General features: G+C 37.2%; 1 protein-coding gene across 18 annotated transcripts in view, besides 1 other annotated feature; it reads right to left on the bottom strand.

The window, feature by feature from the left end:
- SPAG16 (sperm associated antigen 16) overlaps positions 1-26,004 on the bottom strand; it is a 1,126,038-nt gene that overhangs the window by 711,499 nt on the left and 388,535 nt on the right. The gene's annotated exons all lie outside the window — the stretch shown is intronic.
- Positions 10,245-11,087: an enhancer, noted in NCBI's record as "OCT4-NANOG-H3K27ac hESC enhancer chr2:214552640-214553482 (GRCh37/hg19 assembly coordinates)". NCBI's record gives its function as "activates a minimal SCP1, AML or CMV promoter by ChIP-STARR-seq in primed H9 embryonic stem cells {active_cell/tissue: H9 hESC(primed)}" and the evidence as "EXISTENCE:reporter gene assay evidence [ECO:0000049][PMID:30033119]".

Below are 26,004 nucleotides of genomic sequence, written 5' to 3'. Positions count from 1 at the left end.
AAGAAGCTAGCGATACTAATATTTGCCCACATTTATTAACCCCCTATATGCCAGGTACTATGCGTTGTACTTGATGTGCATTATCTCATTTAATTAATACAGTTTAGTGGGTTTATACTGTTTTACACATTCAGGTGGTAAATCACTTGCTATTTCAGGTAGGAAAAAAGCAAGGTCAGAATTCAAAATCAGTTCAGTGACACCAAATCCAATACAGTTAATCACTGCAGTCGGACATGAGTGTGCCATGGAGCAGGACAAGAGAGCCTGTCTTTCCAACTCAGGACACCTTAGCATGACAATAAGGTGTACAGAACAGAGTATATTTGTCCAGGTGAGTACTAAGAGTGTCAAATAGAAAGTTTTGGGAAATAGCTAAGATAACTGTAAAAGAATATGTAGAATGAGAAAAAAGTAGAGCCCTGTTAACAACACTAATAAAGCAAGGCACAATGGCTCACGCCTATGATCTCAGAGTTTTGGGAGGCTGAGGAAGGCGGATTGCTTGAACCCAGGAGTTTGATACCATCCTGGGCAACATGGTGAGACCTCATCTGTACAAAAAATAACAAAATTAGCCAAGTGTGGTAGCATGCACCTATAGTCCCAGCTACTCAGGAGGCTGAGGTGTGAGGATTACTTGAGCCCGGGAGGTTAGGGTTGCAGTGAACCATGATTGTGCCACTACACTCCAGCCTGGGCAATAGAGGGAGACCCTGTCTCAAAATAATAATAATCATCATAATAATAATAAATTTAAAAAATTGCACCAAGAAAAAGCCATGAGAAAAATGTAGCCCATAAAGGAGAATAAAGAAGAACGGTCAGAGAGCAAATATGTAATTTTTTAAAAATGTGGTATCATAGAACCCAAGGGGAGAGAATATCACCAGAATGGGGAAATCAACTGATTAACAAAGAGGTTGAAAAGGGTAGAAGTAAAAATAATATACTGGAATTAAGAATAAGAGCACCTTGCCAAATATTGAAAGCAGTTTACTAAGGAAAAAAGAAGTTGACGAGAGTTGGCAGAAGATTTGAGTAGATGAGAGATGAGAAGGAAATAATAAAAATAACAAGCCTTAGTTGTTAAAAGGACTATATAAAAAGGGATGGTAGCTAGAGCTGAGCAGGTAGAGGTAGGAAATTCTGTGGTTTTTTGTTTATTAATGTTGTTTTTTAAAAGGAAACTCTTAAGCATGTTTACCTGCTAACAGGAAATGGCCTGAAAGAAGAGAGAGGATAAAGATACAAAGGAAAGGAATGAAGTAGTGGACTGTATTAATTTCCTATTGCTGCTGCAACACAGTACCACAAACTTAGTGGCATAAAGCAACAGAAATTTATTATCTTACAGTTATGTAGGTCAAAAGTACAAAATGAGTCAGACTGGGCTAAAATCATGGTGTTCCTCTTATAAGGACAGTTGTGACTACATTTAGAACAGATCTGATAAATATAGGGTAATCTCATGTACTCAAAATCTTCAATTTTTTCACATCTGCAAAGTCTCTTTTGTCATATAAGGTAACATTCATAGATTCCAGAGATTGGAATCTGAATATCTTTGGGGACCATTATTCAGCCTATCACATTGTGCAGGCTTCAAGATGCACAGCAATTCTATTTTGTCTCACTCTAAATACATGACCATGAGTGACAAAATGGCATTCTCTAATACTCTGCAACTCCACTGCACTGCATATTTACTCTGACACTATGTAAAATGAGTATTCATACCTTCTCCCTTTGTGTAGTGGCCTCCAGCCCTACCTCTTTTCCACCCACTCTTCCCTTTCAAATGATGACCTTGTTAAATAGATTCAATCTAGGGCTTCCTTGTTTTCATCACAAAATTTACCTACCTACCTAAACTTCTACCCATCCCCTTTCTTTCTTTTACAATAAATGAAGTGTCCCTGCTCACGTCAAAGTTCTATCCCTCAATTTGTGCTCTAGCTCCATCTGCGACTCACTTTCTAATGAACTTGGTTCCTGCAAGTATCCTCTTCCTCCTACATCATCAATTTGTTTCTATTGAATCAATCCTAGCAGCATACATATTCTAGAATCTTCCCACTTTATAAAACCCTGCTTTAGCCCACATTCTCTTCCAGCTACTATTTCTCTTCTTGGTCTCCTTTCATGATAAAACTTACAAGAAGAGTTGTCTGTTGTCTCTGTCTCCTGTTGTTTACCTCCCATTCTCTCCTCAAATGACTCCAATTCAGTTGAAATAGTTCTTATAACAAATGACACCCCTCCAGACCAACTTCAACAGCTATTTCACAGTTTTAACATTACTAGTTTCTCAGCTAAACAGTTGGTCATTTGCATCTTTTTCTTTTTTAGCTCTGGCAAGTATGTACATTTGCATCCTCTTTAAGTACTTTCTTTTCTTAGCTTCTATAGCATGTATCACTCTTCCTTGTCTTTTCACCTATCTTGCTAGGTATTTCTCAGTCTCTTTTGTTGGTTCCTCTTTCTCTAATTATTATTTAAGTATTAGAGTGAGCCAGGGATGTGCCCTGAATTTTTTTCTCTTTCTGATTTCTCCCTAGATTATCTCACTTAGTCCCATGGCTTTACCACCCACAAGACATCGGGTACTGAATATTGATGGCCAGTGCTGACCTCTCTTCTGAACTCCAAACTCACATATCCAATTGTCAATTAGACATCTTAACTTGCATGCCTAATAAAGCATCTAAATTTAGCATGCATAAAACTTAACTCAGGATTGCAACTTTATTTTGATCTCAAAAATATTGTTCTTTCATTCTCAATTTAATGAATGACATAACAAAATTAGTCAAGCAAAGAAACAAACAAACAAACAAAAAACACTAGGAGTTATTCTTGTTCCTTTCTTTCTCTTAACTTCCATATCCATAGATCAGCAAATCTTTTGGCTTTACCCTCTAGATATACTCTTAATCTGTCAACCATTCTCTTTCCCTAGTATCACCCTAAAATCAAGCCACCATTATCTCTCACCTACATTACTTGAATTACCTACTAAATAATATCTCTTCTTCTACCCTTACGTAACTCCATCAACATTCAGCATGGTATGGGTTTTTGTTAAAAATCTAAATTGGATGACATCAATCCCATGCTTAACAACCACAAAAGGCTTCCTGCATAACCTACATTAAGCTCCTGATTGACCTTCTAATCTCATCTCCCACTATTACCCATGATTGTTCAACTGCATGTGCATTGATGAAACACACCAAGTCCTTTCCCAAGTTAGGATGCATGTGCTTATTCTTTCCTGTGAATTCACATGCTTCTCCTCTACGTCTTCTCATGGCTGGCTCCTTCTTGTCATTCTCTGACCAAATGTCTCTTCCTCAGGGAAGTGTCTTCACACCCAGGTACTCACTATCTGATATATCTATCACCTTGTCTTAGTATTTTTTCAGTTCTTATTACTAGCTGAAACTAATATTTTTCTAACAGCTGATTACCTCCTTTCAGTGGAACGTCTTTCTGAGAACAGGATCCTAATATGTGTTACTCATTGGTGTGGCCAAAGAGCCCAGAACAGTACCTGTCACAAACTAGGTGATTAATATATGATTTATAAAATGAATGAATGAAAAATAAGGACAGTTTAGCGGATAGTATAATAAGCATAGTTGAAGGAATTATCCTGAACATAGCACTTTTTAAAACCATGATACCTTGTTAGTTAAGTTGGTAGATGAGGTAAGTGAAGAAATTTAAGAACAGTTGCCCTGATGGTCATGTGTTAAGTAAGAAAAAGTTGCAGTCGGAGCTTGAGTAGAATGAGAAAGGTTTAAAATAGCCACTGTGAAGAGTAAGAAAAAGATATGGTTAAAAGATATGTAAAAGATCTAGAAATCTAGAGAATTTTGAGGTCTAATCAAATTTGATGAACCTAAACTCACAGTGGTATCAACCTCCAGTAGTGGAGGGAAGTGGATTAACAAAAAGGTAGAATTTTACATGTCAAGTCTATAAAAAATCAAGATCCAAAGAGTACAGATTTTGTCATGAGATTCACTAATATGAAAGAGCATGAAGATTAGCTTGAATAAAACAGGACCCCATACTACTGGGAGGTAGAAGATGTTGATATAAGAGAAATTACAAGATTCAAAGAATTTAATGAGAGCAAAAAATAGATGGAGTGCAATAATACTTACAGAATTCAGAACAGGAGAGGCAAGGGAGAGTAGAAGGAAGGAAGGAAGGAAAGAAGGAAAAGAGAAGGATAAAGAAAGGAAGGCAAGAAGAGAGGAATGCAAGCAGGAAGGAAGGAAGGAAGGAAGGGTGGGTCAATGAGTTAAAAATCTGAATTCATGAATTTAGACATGGAACACTTCCTGGTAACAGCAATGTCCAGATTATGACCTTAGGAATGTTGAGCTGAAGCAAAATGATGATGCCTTTTGGAATTCAGGGAAGTCAACATATTGAGAGGCCAAGGCGTTAGGAATAGCATCCACGTGATCATTGTGACTTTTTGGCTATACCACATTTCCACGTATACTAGAAAGCAACGCATATGGAACTTGAAAAATATTTATTCATTAAATAAATGAATGATAGTGTTAATTAATAGAGTAGAATGGAAAGTGAGTGCATAGTAAAATTGTGAACAATTAGCCAACACTTCTCTGAATAAGGGAGGAAGTAGTAAGAAAAAGGATATCAATGAGAAGCAGGTGATACAGCTCGATTACAGAAGGCTTAATGTAGTTTGAAGTTTCTATTTTGTCCATAAATTTTACTGTGCTAATAAATGCTTATAATACATTTTACAATTACTTCTCACCTAAGTAATATGCCCTCCTCCTTCTCTTACCTCCTTAGTTTATTCTTACAGATCTCAAGCTAGTAAACTGTGGACCAAGTTCAATCTACATGAGAGTCCATGTCTTTTCTTCGCTTCTTCTTTCTCTCCCTCTCTTTTTTCTTTTTTTTTTTTGTCTTGCATAAAGCACCAAAGAATGAAGTACATTTCAGTATTTATTAGGAGAGTTGACATGATAAATCCATATTTCTGGCTTCTCTTGCAGAAACAAAATACCTGGCATCCCTGGTCTCACAATCTAGCATGGCAACTATTGGTAGAGCTAAGTAGTGACTGCTTCCTTTAGATAGGGTTTCCAAGTTTCAGTGCCAGATAGTCCACTTTCACCATGTTCCAGGCCCCATAGCATTTGATTTTGGCTTCTTTGAATCAAAGCTACAAAAGCAACTACTTGACTTCACACTAAAGAGTTCTACCACCAAGGACTAAATATACTTAAGTCTCTCTTCATGTAAAGCTTAAATTCCACAGAGGCAACTTGGCCCACTGTTGACTTGACTTAGTACCTAGTTATCATGATACTCCATTCTATAAGGAAAAGAATAGGAAATAAGAGTAATGTTAGGTTGAAATCTGCCCAAAACACTTCCAAAAAGCCCATAAATTATTTAGCAAGCTACATCATGTATTTTTGTTTAATGGCCATTATTGTTTTGTTTTCTTTTGTTTTTAATGTGCAGATTGTATAATGGAAGGTAAATAAATGTGAAGTAGTTCTGTCTACGAAGCAAACATGTAAAACTGAAGCGTCAGTGTGCTGAGGTAGGGCTTGGTCTTAACTCTGGTTTTGCTCCAAAGTCAGGCTAAATGTTCGCCTTTGCTCTATGTTCATGTTCTATTTGTATGCTGACTCTGTGCTATTCATCCCTACTGATGGTTCTAAGCACCCTGGCAGTTAGGCCTCATTGCTTTAAGTTGCATGTGCCCTACGACTGAATTCATTGAGCATGAGAACTGATAAATTGCCCAATCAGACCTGTAAGATGCTCAAGTTCAGGAGGAGTCAAAAAGAATTAATATGAAATTCACATGCATTCTAAGCTTACAGAGTGTGCTTGGCATTTTTCTTGGTTATAGTTTGCTTAGAAATGCATGTTGGCATATGAATTAGAAGTCAAACATTGATGATTCTTTTGTAATAAAGATTCCAGTTATATGTTCAAAAAGAAATCTATCTGAATATTTTTAAAATTCAGAACCTGTTGTTTTAAAAGGGTTTTCAGTGAACATTCTTAAAATGTATTTTTTCCTTAAAAACTTGTAGCCATTCCTCATATTACTAACTCAACTAAGAACTGACATATAGTTTTCAAGATAAAACTTTTTTTTTCTTTTTTTTTTTTTTTCGAGACCGAGTCTCGCACTTTCACCCAGGGTGGAGTGCAGTGGCGTGACCTCGGCTCACTGCAAGCTCCGCCTCCCGGGTTCACGGCATTCTCCTGCCTCATCCTCCCAAATAGCTGGGACTACAGGCACCCGCCACCATGGCGGGCTAATTTTTTGTATTTTTAGTAGAGTCGGGGTTTCACCGTGTTAGACAGGATTGTCTCTATCTGCTGACCTTGTGATCTGCCCACCTCAGCCTCCCAAAGTGCTGGGATTTACAAGCATGAGCCACCATGCCCGGCAGACAAAACATTTTTAAGGAAACAGTAAGGCATAACTCTTTCACAGAAAGCAGTTTGAGCTGTTCTTGGACACCAAACACAATAAATCAGTGGCTCTCTCTCTGCTTTTTCTTAATATATTTTATGTATTTTTAGTACAAACACAAGTCAATCTCCAGCAGATTCCATTAAGTGAAGTGAAATTAATGTAAATAAATATGCACAACTCAAATTATGTTAACCCTGTAATCACTTAAAAAAGGTACTGTAACAAATCCAAGTATTGAACATTGTGGTTATATGCCCTTAAATTTTGTTTAAATTATTATTTTTGAGTGACAATAATTAGGTATCTTTTTCATTATGATTGGTTTCATCAAATTTTATATTAATCTAAAATCACTACCCAGAGGCTTATAATGGTGTAATATTTGAAAGTAATTTCAAATTTCATTTTTTTCTAATAATTACTCTCCAGTTTGCTATTAATAATTACAAGTCTGTAATTTAGCTTGTGTTCCATAGATATTTGTTGACATCTTAATTTATCATTTTGGCTTTGGGAATGAACCACATTTGAGTAAATTTGTGATCATCTTTTGAATGAGTCTTGTTTAACTTTTTAGGATAGACTACCGCCTTCTTCATTACTTTTACAAATATTTATTGAAATTCCACTATGTATTAGCCATGCTGTTCTAGACAACTGAGATATATCAGAGAGCACAACAAACAATGATTGCCACCTTTTAGAGCTTTCAATCTGGTGGGGACAACAAGACAAAAAATAAATAATAAACATAATAAATCACAAATCATATAGTATGTTAAATGATAACAAATGCTGAGGGAAAAAGACAAAGAGCAAGAGATTAAAAATTGAAGTGCAGGGCAAACAGAGTTTCTAGCTATCCTTGCCTATAAACCACTTCAAAGCTTAGTGGCTTCAAACAATTTATTATTAACTTGTATTACTGTGTTTTAGCTGATCTAGTTGGCTCTCACTTACAGTTTCTCATGTGTTTACAGACAGATATCAGCCAGGGCTTTAGTCTGGGCTAGAGGTCCAAGACAGCTCCATCACATGGCCAGCAGTTGATACTGGTTGTCAAATGTAGGCTTAGCTGAGGTTATTGATCAAGGTGCCTAAAGGTGGCCTCTCCATGTGTACTGAGAGTGAGCACCCTGACAGCTAGCATTTAAGCAGACCCAGTCAGAATTTGCAAGTTGTCCTCTGACTGCCTCAGAAGATCTAGATTGTCACACCTGCTGCATTCTATTGGCTCCAAGTCAGGGCTAGCCCAGATTCAAGAGGAAAGGGTTACACAAGGTTTATTGAGGGTTATCTTTAGAGACTGGCTATCCTGGGAAGTTGCTGGAATTTTAAGTAGGGTGATTAGGCTTATTGAAGAGTGCTATGGTTTGAATGTGCCCTCTCCAAAATTCAGATGTTGCCAGTGTGATAGTATTAAGAGGTGGGGCCTTTAAGAGGTGATTAGGCCTTCAGGGCTCCTCCGTCACTGTATTAGTCAGGGTTCTGCAGAGAGACAGAACCAATAGGATCTATATATATATCTATATATCTATATCTATATCTGTATCTATCTATATGCAAGCTAGAGAAAGAGAGAAGCCAGTAGCATAGCTCAGTTTAAATCTGAATGCCTCAATATCAGGGAAGCCAACAGTGCAGCCCTCAGTCTGAGGCCATAGGCCCAAGAGCCCCTGGGAGGTTGCTGGTACAAGCCTCACAGACCAAAGGCTGAAGAACCTGGAGTTAATATCCAAGGGCACGAGGAGAGGAAGCCAAGCATCCAGCATAACATGGGAAGAGAAGGAGCAAAAAGACTCAACAAGCTGCCTATCCTCTTCTTCTGCCTGCTTTGTTCTACCTGCACTGGCAGACAAATGGTTGGTGCCACCCACATTGAGGATGAATTTTCCTCTCCCAGTCTACTAACTCAAATATCAGTCTCCTCTGGCAAATAGATGTGTCCCTCACAGACACATCTATTAACATGCTTCATCAGCCATCTAGGCATCCCTCAATCCAGTCAAGTTGACACCTAATATTAACCATCATACTCATGAATGAGATTAGGTATCCTTATCAAAGCAGTGGATAGAGGGAGTGTCTCTCTCTTGCCCTTCTGCCTCTGGAGGCAGTGTAAGGACACAGTTTCCTTCACTCTGGAGGATGCAGCCCTTGCTGGAGAGCCAAATCTGCTGGTGACTTGACCTTGGACTTCCCAGCCTCCAGACTGTTAGAAATAAATATCTGTCTTTTATCAATTCCACAGTCTGTGTTATAGCAGCACAAATGGACTAAGACTAAGACGAAGAGTTAAGTCTAGAAATAGAGGAGTTTGTTAACGAGGCAAATATCTGAAGAAAGGGCATTTCAAGCAGAAAAAATAGCCAGTATAAATGTTCTAAGACAAAATCATGCCTACTGTGATCGAAGAATTTTTTTAATGTGATGGATTGAAGGAGAAATTAATAAAAGATGAGGTCAGACATTATGGAGGCCAGAATATTTATACCAAAAATAAACACTAGATTTAGCAAAATGATGGTCTGATGACTTGATAAGAATTTCAGAGGATGTAAAAACCAGATTGGAAGAAGTATAAAGGAGAAAATGAATAAATGAGTGGTGTGAAGAAATTATAAACAAGTCTTTCTGGAGTAGGATAGCCTCTCTACAGCAGCATAGTAAAGTGCACACTAAAGAGAAAAGAGGGCAGCAGAGAGAAAATTCCAGACATCTGTAAACAATTCTCCTCGAATATTCAGCTGGGTACTAATTAGCACATGTTTGTTAGGACACTAACCAAGGATATGAAAAGAGCCACCTGAAAAGAATAGTGAGAACAATATATTCAGAACTCAGTAAGGCTGAGAATAATGAGTGTTTTCAAACTAAAAAATCTTATTAATTCATATGGCTATTGGGCACTGCTCTTAGAGAGGTCACACTTTTGAAGTGAGACCAAAAAAAAAAAAAAAAAAAAAAAAAAAGCCCCAGCACTAAATTCTGTTCTAAGTTTAAAATCAAGATCCAAAAGGATCAAACTGCTTCTAAGTGATTTAACTGCTTTTCAAAAGAAATCTAAAGAATATAGAATAAAAATATCCAGTACCCAAAAAGTAAAACTCACATTGTTTGGCATCCAAACAAAAATTAACAATACACAAAGAAATTGGAAAATCTGAACCATGTGAAGAGAAAAGTCAATCAAAACCAATCCATAACTGACACAGATGATAAAATTAGACAAGAATATTTTAAGGCCAGGAGCAGTGGCTCATGCCTGTAATTCCAGCACTTTGCAAGGCTGAGGTGGGTGGATCACGAGGTCAGGCATTCAAGACCAGCCTGGCCAAGATGGTGAAACCCTGACTCTACTAAAAATACAAACACTAACCAGGCACCGTGGCAGGAGCCTGTGATCCCAGCTGCTCAGGAGGCTGAGGCAGGAGAATTGCTTGAACCAGGGTGGTGGAGGTTGCAGTGGGCCAAGATCGAGCCACTGCACTCCAGCCTGGGCAACAGAGTGAGACTCTGGCTCAAAAAAAGAGAACATTTTAAGTCATTACATCAAATTTCATATGTTCAAAAAATGAGAGGAAAGATTAAATAGGTTAAGAAGAAACAGGGAAGTTAAAAAGGATCAAATAAAATGTCTGGTGATAGAATTATTAATATAATATCTGAGATAATTTACTAGATGGAAGCAGATTAGAGATTGCAGGAGAAAAATTAATTTGGAGGCATAGAATTCAAAACAATACAAACTGAAAAAAAAATTAACAGAGCATCCATAAACTGTGGAATACTTAAAGTGAACTAATATAAATGCAATGGGATTGAAGACTAAGCTTTGATTTTTTTTATCTCATGCAAATTCCTATCTAAGGGATCTGGGGAGTCATGCCCTACAAACCATAAATTCTCATTAGATGGGTTTTATTTAACCCTATATATCGTGACTTACTTTCCAATCTGACTCTGGCATAACATTACATGACAAAGAAGAAAATCCAAATATTTTATGTGTAACATTACCTGACAAAGAAGAAAATCCAAACATGTTTCTTTGCCACATTTTGAAATGGCCCTGCAAAGCTGTACTTTGTGGGAGAAAATTTGCATATGTAAAGAATCTCTATTAACATAGCTAGATCTTTGTTTTCCCAGGCCCTCCCATTCCTGAAGAGATTAACTGAGAGTCTAGGACCTTTTAAAGGTCTGAATAGGAAACATTTGTCATCTATTGTCTTTAATGGCAGCCACTATGAGAATTCAAAATACCTTGGTCTCCACAATCTTTATCTTAACCTGAACATTTCCTTTCTGTTGATCCAAGGTCTTTAGACAAACTCAACCAATTGTCAACTAGAAAATGTTTAAATTTACCACCTATAGCCTGGAAATCCTCCCCCCAAGTTCAAACTGCCCCACCTTTCTGGACCAAACCAATGTATTTCTCAAATGTATTTGATTGATGTCTCATGCCTCCCTAAAATGTATAAAACCAAGCTGCACCCTGACCACCTTAGGCACATGTCCTCAGTTCCTCCTGAGGGATATGTCACAGGTCATGGTTACTTATATTTGGCTCAGAATAAATCCCTTCAAATATTTTACAGAGTTTGAATCTTTTTGTCAATGGGAGTCTCTAAAGGAAAGGAGAAATAAAAAGGGACAAAAAATTATGAAGAAATAGTAGCCAAAATCTTGCAATTTGAGGAAAACTATATACTCTCAGTTCCGAGAATCATATCAAACTTCAACCACAAGAAACATGAAGAAAACTATGTCAAGATACATTATATTCAAATTGCTCAGAATCAGTGATAAAATCTCGAAAGGGGTCAGACAAAAAAACATATGCCTTTACAAAAGACAAAGATCAAAATGACAGCCAATTTCTAGTAGAAAACAATGAAGTAAGCAGTCAGTTGAGCAACATTTTTAAATACTAAAAGAAATAATAGGACGCCAATCTAGAATTTTATAACCTGGAAGAATATCATTTAAAAAATGCTAAAATAAGTACTTTCAGACAAAGAAAATGAACCAATTTTTCACCAGCAAACCCCACACTACAAGAAATGTCCAAAAAAGTAATTTAGTAAAATGATAATCATGTAAAAATTAAAATTCCCTCAAAGAAATGAAGATCACAAGTAGAATTAACTTTTTTGGGTAAATACATAAGATATTTTCCTTAATAGTTAAATGCATTCAAGTGATAAATGACTTGTACTGTGACTTTTATAACATATATACAATAATATGCATGACAATAATAACAGAAAGGCCAGGAGAAGAAATTGGAAGTAGTAATATTTTCTTACAAGTTCCTCATACTATATGTGAAGAGGTACATAACTTAATATTACTTGAAGCAAGAAACAACCACCAAAATAAAGGGTTATGACTAATAAGGTAACAATATACATAAAATGGAATAAAAATAATCCTAAAGAAAGCAGGAAAAAAGGGAAAAATTACAAAGAACAAAGGAAACAAATAGAAAACAAGTAGAAAATGGTGGGTTAGCCAGGAATGGTGGCTCACACCTGTAATCCCAGCACTTTGGGAGGCCGAGGTGGGCAGATCACGAGGTCAGGACATCAAGACCACCCTGGCTAAAACAGTGAAACCCCACCTCTGCTAAAAATACAAAAACTTAGCCAGGTGTGGTGGCACGCGCCTGTTGTCCCAGCTAGTTGGGAGGCTGAGGCAGAATCGCTTGAGCCCAGGAGGTGGAGGTTGCAGTGAGCCGAGACGGCACCACTACACTCCAGCCTGGGTGACAGAGCGAGACTCTGTCTCAAAAAAAAAAAAAAAAAAAAAAAAAAAAAAGGTGGATTAATACCTAACCATACCAATAGTCACATTAAATGTAAGTGAACTAAATATTCCAATTAAATGGCAGACATTATCAAATTAAACAAGAAAGTAAAATCCAATTATTTGCTGTCTGCAGGGAACTCCCTTTAATACAAAGATACAAATAAGTTTTAAAATAGTGGGAAATAATACGTCATGCTAATAATAAAAAACTGGGATGACAATATAAGAAAAATAAATTTCAGAGAAAGGAATATTAAAATAAAGTAACAGCCGGGCGCTTTGGCTCATGCCTGTAATCCCAGCACTTTGGGAGGCCAAGGTGGGTGGATCACAAAGTCAGGAGATTGGATCAGCTTGGCCAATATAGTGAAACCCCGTCTCTACTAAAAATACAAAAATTAGCTGGGCATGGTGGTGTGCACCTATAGTCCCAGCTGCTCAGGAGGCTGAGGCAGGAGAATCACTTGAACCGGGGAGGCAGAGGTTGAAGTGAGCCAAGATCGCACCACTGCACTCTAGGCTAGGCAACAAAGCAAGACTCCATCTCAATAAATAAATAAATAAAGTAACACATAGAGGAACTAGGAAAATTTTGGGTTTAGACATTAATTATTGGATTATTGGATATGAGATGATTGGATGTTAACTATCTTGATTATGATACCTTTATAATTATATGTCAAAATTTATTAAATTTCACACTTTTTAAACATGCATTATATTACATGCCAACTACTCCTCAATCTGTTAACGAAAACCAGTTTTTAATAGAGATTGAAAAATTGATGACAAAAGCAAACACAATGGCTTAAATGATGTCCTTGAGTAAGCCTGAGTTTTTGTGGTTTATTCATAATTTTTTATTCACTTCCCTATTTCCAATGATTTCTCTCTATAACCATTACTACCACTCTAGTGTCCAAGCTACTATCATCTTTTTCTTGTACTTCTTAAATCCTTTGCTCTTAGAATAAAAAGGAAACTCATAAAAATGGCCTTCAGGACCTATTGTCTTGTCCCTGCCTATTGTTCTATCCTCTCTTCAGATCAAGTTGCTCTTATTCTTCCTTTGCAATCTACACTGATATGTTTTCAGTCCCTGTATTACATTCCTAGGGCTGTTGTAACAAAGTATTACAAACTGAGTGACTGATAACAACAGAAATTTATTGTGCCACACTTCTGGAGGCCAGAAGGCCAAACTCAAGGTGTTAGCAGAGTCATGCTCCCACTGAAGGTGCTAGGGAAGGATCAGTTCCAGGCCTCTTTCCTGGCTTCTGGTAACCTCAGGAATTCCCTGGCTTGAATATGTCCTTATTCTCTGTGTCTCTTCACATAGTCTTTCCTCTGCATGTCCATGCCCACCTTTCTCCTTCTTACAAGAACACGCGTCATATTGGATTGGGGTCTACCCCAGTGACCTCATTCTAACTTTGTAAAATCTGCAAAGTCCTTGTTTCCAAATAAAGTCACATTCTGAGGTACTTGGGGTTAAGACTTCAGCATATCTTTTTGGTGTGACATAATGCAACCCATAACAGTCCCTGTGTTTGTTACACTCCTTCTTGCCAAAGGGTCTTTTATTCAGCCCTTCTGTCTGGGCAGATCTTTCCCTGACTCTTTCAACTGATACCTCCTCACAAATTCTTCAGGTCTAAACTCCAGGGCAACCTCTTAAAGAGGACTTCCTTGATCTGCTTTATTCTGTAAACCCCCTTATCACAGACTCTTATGGTCCTGGAAACCACTCCTTCATAGCACATGTAGAGCTGCAATTTTGCATTGTAGTATGACTTAAACCCATAGTTGTTCCCCCAATAAATTGTTAAATCCGTGAGGATACATAATGTGTCTGTTTTGCTTACCATTTATCCTCATTACATTGCAGAGTTCAGGGAACACAATACATTACCAATAAAACATTTGTTACATAATGGATAAGCTTATTTTTCATTAAATAAGTTGCCCAGTAATGACTTAATGTAACACAGCAGCTTTAAATGATGTTTTTATTATTGCTATAAGAGCGGAAAAGTCATGAGGGTCTGGTAATTTCATTTACTTATTTAACACATATAGTTTATATAGAACTTTAGCAACATTTTCACTGTATTATATTGTAGTCAGTTGGAAATATGAAGTGATCTATTTTCACATTTTAAATAGGATTAACTTTTTTTCTAATATGTGAACATTAGAAAAGTGAAGTGTAAAATCAATTCTGGAATGGTCTTCAAAGAAAAGAGATATTTTCCTCTATTTTCCTGGTTGCAGCAAATACTGAAGTCAGTTTTAGCTATGTGTATGCTCTGATCTAATTTTAACTAAAACCTTCCACTTTCCTTTGCACACCATTGCCTTTAGTATAAACTTAAAAAAGACCTATAGTACTTCATTTCTTAACCATGAATATGCACATACACAAGGCATAAGCTACAAGTTAGTCACACGTTTTTTGTGAGAGAAATGACTGATATTTTGATCTTTATTAGCAAGCAAATTCGGGTTAATTAATCTTTAATGAAATGCCAGTGTTGACAGGATAGCTTCAAGCTTTTATAAACCTTGTACACTGCTAAGTTTGAATCTGACAGGCAATGCTGACAACTTTTTTCAGCTGCCAATCCAATGTTGTCAGCCTACAGTCAGAATGAATTCTTTTTATGTACTTACTAATCCACAAAATTGAAGAAAGAACTTACAAAACTACACAAAACGCTTTCCTACATTTCAAGTTAGAATACTCTGACATTTCTACAAGCTATATTTTAATCCATATACTTAGAAAAATGAAGTATTTAACAGTCATTTGTTCAATTGTAAGAAAAATTGCAAATGAGAACAACTTTTCCAAAGCTGATTATAGTACACTGGCCTAGTTTTTCCAAATGTAACATTGCTAAATATCTACCAAATTATGTATATATGCATACAGAATCAGTATTAAGGCATAACAAGGCTGAAAGGCAATAGACTCTATAGGTGAGGTTTATGCATGTTTGGCATTCACCCTTAACTTGAAAAAAAATATATAAGAACAGAATGTATTTCAATGTGATAAAAGTAAATACATAGAACATAATTTCAACAAATCACATAGTTAAGTGGTATTTATGTATCTTTTTTTTTTTTGGAGATGGAGTCTCACTCTATCATCCAGGCTGGAATGCAGTGATGCGATCTCGGCTCACTGCAACCTCTGCATCCTGTGTTCAAGCCATTCTCCTGCCTCAGCCTCTTGAGAAGCTGGGACTAAAGGAGCATGCCACCATGCTCAGCTAATTTTTCTATTTTTTGTAGAGATGGGTTCTTGCCATGTTGGCCAGGCTGCTCTTGAACTTCTGACCTCAAGTGATCTGCCCGGCTTAACCTCCCAAAGTGCTGGAATTACAGGTGTGAGGCACTGTGCCCAGGCTATGTATCTTTTAATGCACACTTTACACAAGTAATTACTAATTTAAGGCAAACTGGCATTTTATGTCAGATTTCCTGATTTTCCTCTCCCAGGAAAACTTTATTGTTTTAATTCTTTGAGTTTTACTTATATGCTTAGAAAAATCAAGAGCTGTGTTTAATCAATAAGGGAGTTCTTTTGCAATACCACTGAAAAGATCATCAACGTGAATTCATTATTAGGACGCAATATCCAGTTTGTGGCTGTGAGATGTTGAGATGCCATACTTAAGCCAGTCTGTTTTTATACTATGTAATCCCATCAGATAAGACAAAATAGCCATACTTATTTTTTTCTAAGCAGTTGAATCAAATAACCAATACAAATTGACAGAGCAGGATCATCACCATCTAGGACAAACACAGCAATTTTAAGTTCCCCTTGATTAAAAACCGCGTAAATCCAGCCCCAAACCATTAGCCTAATGACTAATGTCAGCATGACCATAAACTACAAGTGACACCTCCGACCAGAAACATTCCAGCTCTGAGATAAATCTCCATCCAACCAGAAACATGCCAGCCCTGAGATAACCTCCACTCCAACCAGAAACATGCCAGCCCTGAGATAACCTACCCTCTGTCCAGAGACATGCCGACCCCACAATAAAACTCTCCTGTGCACAGAAACATTCTGAGCTTGTGATAAGCTCTCCCTTCCTAAACGCTTAAATACCCTTAGTCTGTAAGAGAGAATGCTCCTGACCAAAATTGGCCAGATGCCCCTCTCAGGTTTATTCTCCAAAATAAACCTGTCTTTGACTGTTGAGCCACTTTTTGTGTTTCTTTCTTCTTTAACTCTTACACAAATAACTTCCTATAAATGCTTTCAAAGTATAAAGAAATCAACATCAAAGTGTATATGATTGAATGGGTTCTAGGGTAAAAAGAACCTGACTTAATTCCTATCCTCCAGGGGGTTATGATCTGGTTTGGAAAACAACAAATGCAGCAAAACATATAACAATCTTGATCTTAATCTCATCCTAACCTGCAATTCCAGTTGTCTATGCAGGTGTAAAATTCCCTAAAGTTAGCCTCCTTTTGTCAGGAAATAGGGCAGATACATAGAAAGATAGGAGTCAATTCAAGGTATTGCCTTGAGGACAATTCTGGAAGAATAGGGAGATACATAAGCCTATTTGAAACTGGTGTTTCATTAGGATTGGTTGGGCTGGGTACAGCAGGGACTGACAAAGAGAGATTCTGGAGGTACAGGATCCCTAAAGGTGCCAGAGGACAGCTGTAACAGATTCACGCTGAAGGGAAAGGAGCCTGGATCTGGGTAATGTCTTTATATTTCAAAGGAAGAGAGAAATATTAAGAAAGAAAACTTCACATCTTTAGTTTGTCAAAAATACAGATGGGGAGTGGAAAGAAGAAAGAGGGAAAAGCCAAGGCTGATTCACTAGTTTGACTTGGTAGTTAAAAAATTAAAGTTTTATTTTATGAAAGAAAAAAATGCAGTGCAGAACTGGTTTGAGGCTCTGGGGTATTTTGCTATGCATATTTCAGAAGGTCTTGCTTCCCACATCTTTCCTTGATGAGGAAACCCATGCCCTCAATTTCTGCTTCTTTATTTAGCCATGTTTTGTTATGTGTCTCCACATCTATTTTAGCTACCACTGAGTATAATAAGAATGGATGCCTGTCTCAGAAGCAGCTCATTCATAACCTGGCCATGTGTTAATCCCTCTGCAACAATGGCAAAAGAGATCATCAGATCTCTTTGGAATTGGAACTGGAAAGCATAGAAAGAGTTGTTAGCAAGCACTGTAGCTGGAAAGTCAAGACTCTCAAGAGAAACATACAAGATTATGAGGACTAAGTTCTGATTTTTTATCTTACCCAAATTCCTACCTAAGTGGTCTAGGGAGTCATGCCTGACAACCATAAATTCGCATTAGATGGATTTTATTTGACCCTATATATTGTGACTTACTTTTCAGTCTGACTCTGGCATAACATTACAAGACAAGGAAAAAATATTTAACCCCAAAATATATTTCCTTGCCATACCTTGAAATTGCCCTGCAAAGTATCCTGTGGGAAAAATCCACATCCTATAGAGAATCCTCTTTCCCCTTTGTTTTCCTTCCTTTCTTTCCAGGTCCAGGAGACAATCAAATAAGAGCCAGGTACCCTTTTAGGTCTGATAAGAAACATTTTATAACCTGCTCTCTCTCTCTGAAGTCAGCTATCTGAGAGATTCCTCTGCACCATAAAACTTGGTCTCCACAATCCTTTATCTTAACCTAAACATTCCTTTCCATTGATCCTAGTTCTTCAGATAAACTCAGCCAATTGTAAACCAGAAAATGTCTAAATTTACCTATAGCCTGGAAGACCCCCAACTTGGAGTTGTCCTGCCTTTCTGAACCAAACCAATGTATTTCTTAAGTGTATTTGACTGATGTCTCATGCCTCCCTAAAAATATATAAAACCAAGCTGCACCCTGACCACCTTGAGCACATGTTCTCAGGACCTCCTAAGGGCTGTGTCATGGGCCATGGTCATTCATATTTGGTTCAGAATAAATCTCTTAAAATATTTTACAGAGTTTGACTCTTTTTGTTGACAATTATTAGGAAGAGAAAGTGTAAGTAGCTCCCTACTTGCAAGGATGCTCTACACATATTCGAGCATATCATCCACGAATGAGAGAAAGAGGACTGCTCTTGGAGAACATAGAATACAGGTTTAGGGTCTTGAACTCTTCCCATAGTGCAGGGCCTTGGACATCCATAAGAGCCCTTGTTTTTGCCTTTGTAATAAAACATCTTTTTTTTTTTTTTAACTACTAGAGAAGGTATTTGTTCCTCGTAAGTAAAGACAACACAGGAGTCATTTTGAGTTGTAATGCCAAAACTAAGGCCCTCTGGTGAAACCAATAAGGACTCAAATGGCTTACGCACAAGCTCCCTTCTCCATTATGCTCCTGTGGATAAGGTCCCCCAGCCAAACAAGGCTCCTTATCAAAGGGACTAGGTGGAGTTCTTGCTGATACCTGAGTAGCAGGTTTCAATTTTCTGCCAGTGGTGGAATTTTTCAAATAAGCCAACCACATCCTCCCATGGGAATCAGGTGTCACCCTGCTCTCTTGACACTATGAAGCCTCTCTCCCACAGCCTCTACTTGTTCCTTCTGCTTTTGAGTGCAACTTCATGTGGCCCACGGTGGTGTGCTGTATCCTCTTTCCCTGTGCTAGGAGTGTGTATATGTGATAATCTGCTATCAATTTCATCTGTACAATCTAGTGTGAATATTGTGTATTAGTCTATCCCCATAATCCTAAAACAAGAATCCCTCCCTCACCAAATTGGTGAATAGATTATTAAATCCCTTTGCATATGTATCTAAAGTCTATGGGTGCTTCCTGTGATAGCCCTCTCATCTAGTCTTCCATGTACTTTACCCTTCGTTTGTCATCTTATTGAAAAATAAACCAAAACATCAAACTTAAAGTCTTTATTTTTCTAAAATAATTCCCTTATCAAATTCATTTTAAAAATTTAAAGTATCATGCCATTCTTAAGTTAATGGATATAGTCTTTTTACTGAAGGTAACTTTACAAATATTTTCATCACAGACAAAATGGCAAACACATAAATCACCGGAGCAACAGGGAATTGTGAAATACAGTTAGAACAAAATAAGTAGGAAGTGGGAAAAAAAGTTTCTCCACGTTTTTAAAATGTATTTACAGTTTCAAGGCATCTGGTAAGTGTGAAAAAAGGACGTTAAGGCAAAATTACAATTGTTCTTACTGTCAGGACCAGTGGTACAATTTTAAATCAAATTGCACATTTATTTGGTTAGTTCTACTTTCTGGAGTACCAGAATTATGGGAAAGGAGCAAAACTGCAAAAGAATAGAAATTTGTAATTATTATCTGGTTCTTGGAAATACCAATTCAAACTCTGAAAGAAAGCAAATTTTTAAAAAGAAATTGTAAGTAAAAATGTTTTTCTCAGGTTTCCAGTCAAAGCAATTTTACATGACCATAGTGTATAGATAATGTTAAGCAAACTTATAAATCTGTTTCATGTCACAGAATTGCAGGCTAAGCTTAAATTTATATTTAGAATTAGGTTAGACATTGATTCACCCCCAGGTATCCATTTTTAAGAGCTGATTTGCATGCAGAGAAGGTGTCCTTCGTTAAGGAAGTCTAAGGAGGATGTCTGGTGCATGCCTGAGAGGTGGGAACCAGGAACCAAGAAAAGGAAGCAGCAACAGACACAAACTGCACATTCCCCAGAACAGCCTCTCCTAAACCTCCTACAAGTCTTGACAGGAGGAAGTTATAGGTAAAGGAACCACAACACAAGCATTGCCAGGATGAGATGGGGGCAAAACGGTAAGAGTAGAGTGTCCTCACCCATTTCTGTGTTCCAAACAGCAAGTCTCTGGTAAGGTAAAGCTGAAAGGAAGTGCTGCCTGCGTACAACCTTTCTGTCCTTGGGCTTCCACAGATAGCAGAAAACAGCAATCCCTAGGGCTGCTCTAGGAACAGTGACTGGGCACTGCCAGGAAGTGAGCTTTCTGCAGTAGGAGGGTAGGACAGAAAAACATGAAAGAACTGATAATGGGTGAAAGTGAAATACCAAGGGAGTTGCAGAGTAAACAAGGCAGTTTCCGGCATAAAACATGGCCATTCTGAAGGTGTACCGATAGTGGTTAAGAGCAGCAAGATTTTATCCATTTCTTCTAGATTTTCTAGTTTATTTGTGTAGAGGTGTTTGTAGTATTCTCTGATGGTAGTTTGTATTTCTGTGGGATCGGTGGTGATATCCCCTTTATCATTTTTTATTGTGTCTATTTGATTCTTCTCTCTTTTTTTCCTTATTAGTCTTGCTAGTGGTCTATCTATTTTGTTGATCCTTTCAAAAAACCAGCTCCTGGATTCGTTAATTTTTTGAAGGGTTTTTTGTGTCTCTATTTCCTTCAGTTCTGCTCTGATTTTAGTTATTTCTTGCCGTCTGCTGGCTTTTGAATGTGTTTGCTCTTGCTTTTCTAGTTCTTTTAATTGTGATGTTAGGGTGTCAATTTTGCATCTTTCCTGCTTTCTCTTGTGGGCATTTAGTGCTATAAATTTCCCTCTACACACTGCTTTGAATGTGTCCCAGAGATTCTGGTATGTTGTGTCTTTGTTCTCCTTGGTTTCAAAGAACATCTTTATTTCTGCCTTCATTTCGTTATGTACCCAGTAGTCATTCAGGAGCAGGTTGTTCAGTTTCCATGTAGTTGAGCGGTTTTGAGTGAGTTTCTTAATCCTGAGTTCTAGTTTGATTGCACTGTGGTCTGAGAGACAGTTTGTTATAATTTCTGTTCTTTTACATTTGCTGAGGAGAGCTTTACTTCCAACTATGTGGTCAATTTTGGAATCGGTGTGGTGTGGTTCTGAAAAAAATGTATATTCTGTTGATTTGGGGTGGAGACTTCTATAGATGTCTATTAGGTCCGCTTGGTGCAGAGCTGAGTTCAATTCCTGGGTATCCTTGTTGACCTTTTGTCTCGTTGATCTGTCTAACGTTGACAGTGGGGTGTCAAAGGCTCCCATTATTAATGTGTGGGAGTCTAATTCTCTTTGTAGATCACTCAGGACTTGCTTTATGAATCTGGGTGCTCCTGTATTGGGTGCATATATATTTAGGATAGTTAGCTCTTCTTGTTGAATTGATCCCTTTACCATTATGTAATGGCCTTCTTTGTCTCTTTTGATCTTTGTTGGTTTAAAGTCTGTTTTATCAGAGACTAGGATTGCAACCCCTGCCTTTTTTTGTTTTCCATTTGCTTGGTAGATCTTCCTCCATCCTTTTATTTTGAGCCTATGTGTGTCTCTGCATGTGAGATGGGTTTCCCAAATACAACACACTGATGGGTCTTGACTCTTTATCCAATTTACCAGTCTGTGTCTTTTAATTGGAGCATTTAGTCCATTTACATTTAAAGTTAATATTGTTATGTGTGAATTTGAACCTGTCATTATGATGTTAGCTGGTTATTTTGCTCATTAGTTGATGCAGTTTCTTCCTAGTCTCGATGGTCTCTACATTTTGGCATGATTTTACAGCGGCTGGTACCGGTTGTTCCTTTCCTCGACACATACACTCTCCCAAGACTAAACCAGGAAGAAGTTGAATCTCTGAATAGACCAATAACAGGAGCTGAAATGTGGCAATAATCAACAGCTTACCAACCAAAAAGAGTCCAGGACCAGATGGATTCACAGCCGAATTCTACCAGAGGTACAAGGAGGAACTGGTACCATTCCTTCTGAAACTATTCCAATCAATAGAAAAAGAGGGAATCCTCCCTAACTCATTTTATGAGGCCAGCATCATCCTGATACCAAAGCTGGGCAGAGACACAACCAAAAAAGAGAATTTTAGACCAATATCCTTGATGAACATTGATGCAAAAATCCTCAATAAAATACTGGCAAACCGAATCCAGCAGCACATCAAAAAGCTTATCCACCATGATCAAGTGGGCTTCATCCCTGGGATGCAAGGCTGGTTCAATATACGCAAATCAATAAATGTAATCCAGCATATAAGCAGAATCAAAGACAAAAACCACATGATTATCTCAATAGATGCAGAAAAGGCCTTTGACAAAATTCAACAACCCTTCATGCTAAAAACTCTCAACAAATTAGGTATTAATGGGACATATCTCAAAATAATAAGAGCTATCTATGACAAACCCACAGCCAATATCATACTGAATGGGCAAAAACTGGAAGCATTCCCTTTGAAAACTGGCACAAGACAGGGATGCCCTCTCTCACCGCTCCTATTCAACATAGTGTTGGAAGTTCTGGCCAGGGCAATTAGGCAGGAGAAGGAAATAAAGGGTATTCAATTAGGAAAAGAGGAAGTCAAATTGTCCCTGTTTGCAGACAACATGATTGTATATCTAGAAAACCCCATTGTCTCATCCCAAAATCTCGTTAAGCTGATAAGCAACTTTAGCAAAGTCTCAGGATACAAAATCAATGTACAAAAATCACAAGCATTCTTATACACCAATAACAGACAGAGAGCCAAATCATGAGTGAACTCCCATTCACAATTGCTTCAAAGAGAATAAAATACCTAGGAATCCAACTTACAAGGGACGTGAAGGACCTCTTCAAGGAGAACTACAAACCACTGCTCAGTGAAATAAAAGAGGATACAAACAAATGGAAGAACATTCCATGCTCATGGGTAGGAAGAATCAATATCATGAAATTGGCCATACTACCCAAGGTAATTTATAGATTCAATGCCATCCCCATCAAGCTACCAATGACTTTCTTCACAGAATTGGAAAAAACTACTTTAAAGTTCATATGGAACCAAAAAAGAGCCCGCATCACCAAGTCAATCCTAAGCCAAAAGAACAAAGCTGGAGGCATCATGCTACCTGACTTCAAACTATACTACAAGGCTACAGTAACCAAAACAGCATGGTACTGGTACCAAAACAGAGATATAGATCAATGGAACAGAACAGAGCCCTCAGAAATAACGCCACAAATCTACAACTATCTGATCTTTGACAAACCTGAGAAAAACAAGTATTGGGGAAAGGATTCCCTATTTAATAAATAGTGCTGGGAAAACTGGCTGGCCATATGTAGAAAGCTGAAACTGGATCCCTTCCTTACACCTTATACAAAAATCAATTCAAGATGGATTAAAGACTTAAATGTTAGCCCTAAAACCATAAAATCCCTAGAAGAAAACCTAGGCATTACCATTCAGGACATAGGCATGGGCAAGGACTTCATGTCTAAAACACCAAAAGCAACGGCAACAAAAGCCAAAATTGACAAATGGTATCTAATTAAACTAAAGAGCTTCTGCACAGCAAAAGAAACTACCATCAGAGTGAACAGGCAACCCACAAAATGGGAGAAAATTTTCACAACCTACTCATCTGACAAAGGGCTAATATCCAGAATCTACAATGAACTCAAACAAATTTACAAGGAAAAAGCAAACAAGCCCATCAAAAAGTGGGCGAAGGACATGAACAGACACTTCTCAAAAGAAGACATTTATGCAGCCAAAATACGCATGAAAACATGCTCACCATCACTGGCCATCAGAGAAATGCAAATCAAAACCACAGTGAGATATCATCTCACACCACTTAGAATGGCAATCATTAAAAAGTCAGGAAACAACAGGTGCTGGAGAGGATGTGGAGAAATAGGAACACTTTTACACTGTTGGTGGGACTGTAAACTAGTTCAACCATTGTGGAAGTCAGTGTGGTGATTCCTCAGGGATCTAGAACTAGAAATACCATTTGACTCAGCCATCCCATTACTGGGTATATACCCAAAGGATTATAAATCATGCTGCTATAAAGACACATGCACACGTATGTTTATCGCGGCACTATTCACAATAGCAAAGACTTGGAACCAACCCAAATGTCCAACAATGATAGACTGGATTAAGAAAATGTGGCACATATACACCATGGAATACTATGCAGCCATAAAAAATGATGAGTTCACGTCCTTTGTAGGGACATGGATGAAATTGGAAATCATCATTCTCAGTAAACTATCGCAAGGACAAAAAACCAAACACTGCATATTCTCACTCATAGGTGGGAATTGAACAATGAGAACACATGGACACAGAAAGGGGAACATCACACTCTGGGGACTGTTGTGGGGTGGGGGAAAGGGGGAGGGATAGCATTGGGAGATATACCTAATGCTAGATGACGAGTTAGTGGGTGCAGCGCACCAGCATGTCACAGGTATACATATGTACCTAACCTGCACATTGTGCACATGTACCCTAAAACTTAAAAGTATAATAATAAAAAATAATGAAAAAAAAAAAGAGCAGCAAGATTTGTGAGACCTGGACAATTTTAGATTACAATGACTTTAAGAAAAAAAATCACATCTTATTGCTCCAAAGTCTAATCCCAAAAGAATCAAGTATGTTGTCGTAGAGAACTGGATGAAATTACAAACTGTAAAATTATAAATGAAACTATAAAATTATAACAGCATGCCATTTTTGAATGATATAGAGTTACTTTTACTATTATTTTTACTTCAGCAGGTCGGTCTCCATATTCAACTAAAATACACAGCAAATTAAATTTGTTTAAAGTTTATAACACCTAGAAGAAAAGACAACATATATTTCTCAAGTAATATGAGTATCTTTTGAAGCCTTATAAACAGCACCAAAATAATGAAATAATTTAAAAATATAACTTTATTTATAAATGACACTTGCAACTATTAAGTATTAAAGTTGTTAATATTTCATATAGAATGAATGTACTGTAACATGAGACTTTTTTCACTTTCACAATTATTAAACAACTAGAAATGGAATGAGTATGTCCGTTAAAGTGATAGCATTTATTTTTCCAATGTTCTTTATTTTTTTTTGTTGTTTGTAATACATTTGTTTTATTATAATATTAATTTAGGCTTATTGGGAAATTTCAAAATATAATAAAATGTATAAAGTAACTATTACATTACCTTAGTAGAAGCCAGTGTGGACAATTTGTTGCACCATTTTCAACACTGACCCTGTACAAATATAAAATGTGTGTACATATTTGTATGAACATTTGTTGTATGCATATATTAGATTGTGTATCCTCTTCTGCAATGTGCTTTTTCCCTTGACTCAATGGTCTTGCAGGACATATGCCAAGCTTCTTCAAAACTATAAAACAGCCTACTGTATGGAGGTGCCATGATTGCTTCTAGTCTTTTATTAATAGACAGTTGAATCTTTCCACTCTATTATAATATCTGGACCCAATAACTGCATGTTAAAATGAACCTAAAAATTAATACTGTACATCAGCCCTGTAAGTTTCTCTGCCTATAGTAACATTATAATGACTATATTATGTTTGATTAGCCTAAAAAAGTGACTTTTTATAAACCATTTTTTAGATGTTTTATTTCTAGAAATATTAATTCCTATTCTTAAAATATCTCTTTAACCTAATGATTGCTAATTCATGTGGTGTCAGAAAAATACAGTTATAGAGGTTACCAAATGCTGTGGCAGTCTGATAATTTTATGAGTGTGGTAGGTTTTGGGTTCTTGAAGGAAAGGAAGGGTTTGAATATAGAGGAAAATAGATTTAAAAATTTTTGAATATCCACACGCACATTATTAATAAAGGCAAAAAGTGGTAACATCCTGAAATTCAAGAAAGAGAAGACTAAAGATC

The sequence above is a fragment of the Homo sapiens genome, chromosome 2 (genome assembly GCF_000001405.40).
Source record: "Homo sapiens chromosome 2, GRCh38.p14 Primary Assembly".
Classification (NCBI taxonomy): domain Eukaryota; kingdom Metazoa; phylum Chordata; class Mammalia; order Primates; family Hominidae; genus Homo; species Homo sapiens.
Note: the sequence above shows the minus strand (reverse complement) of the source record. Positions and strands in the feature narration are given on the sequence as shown.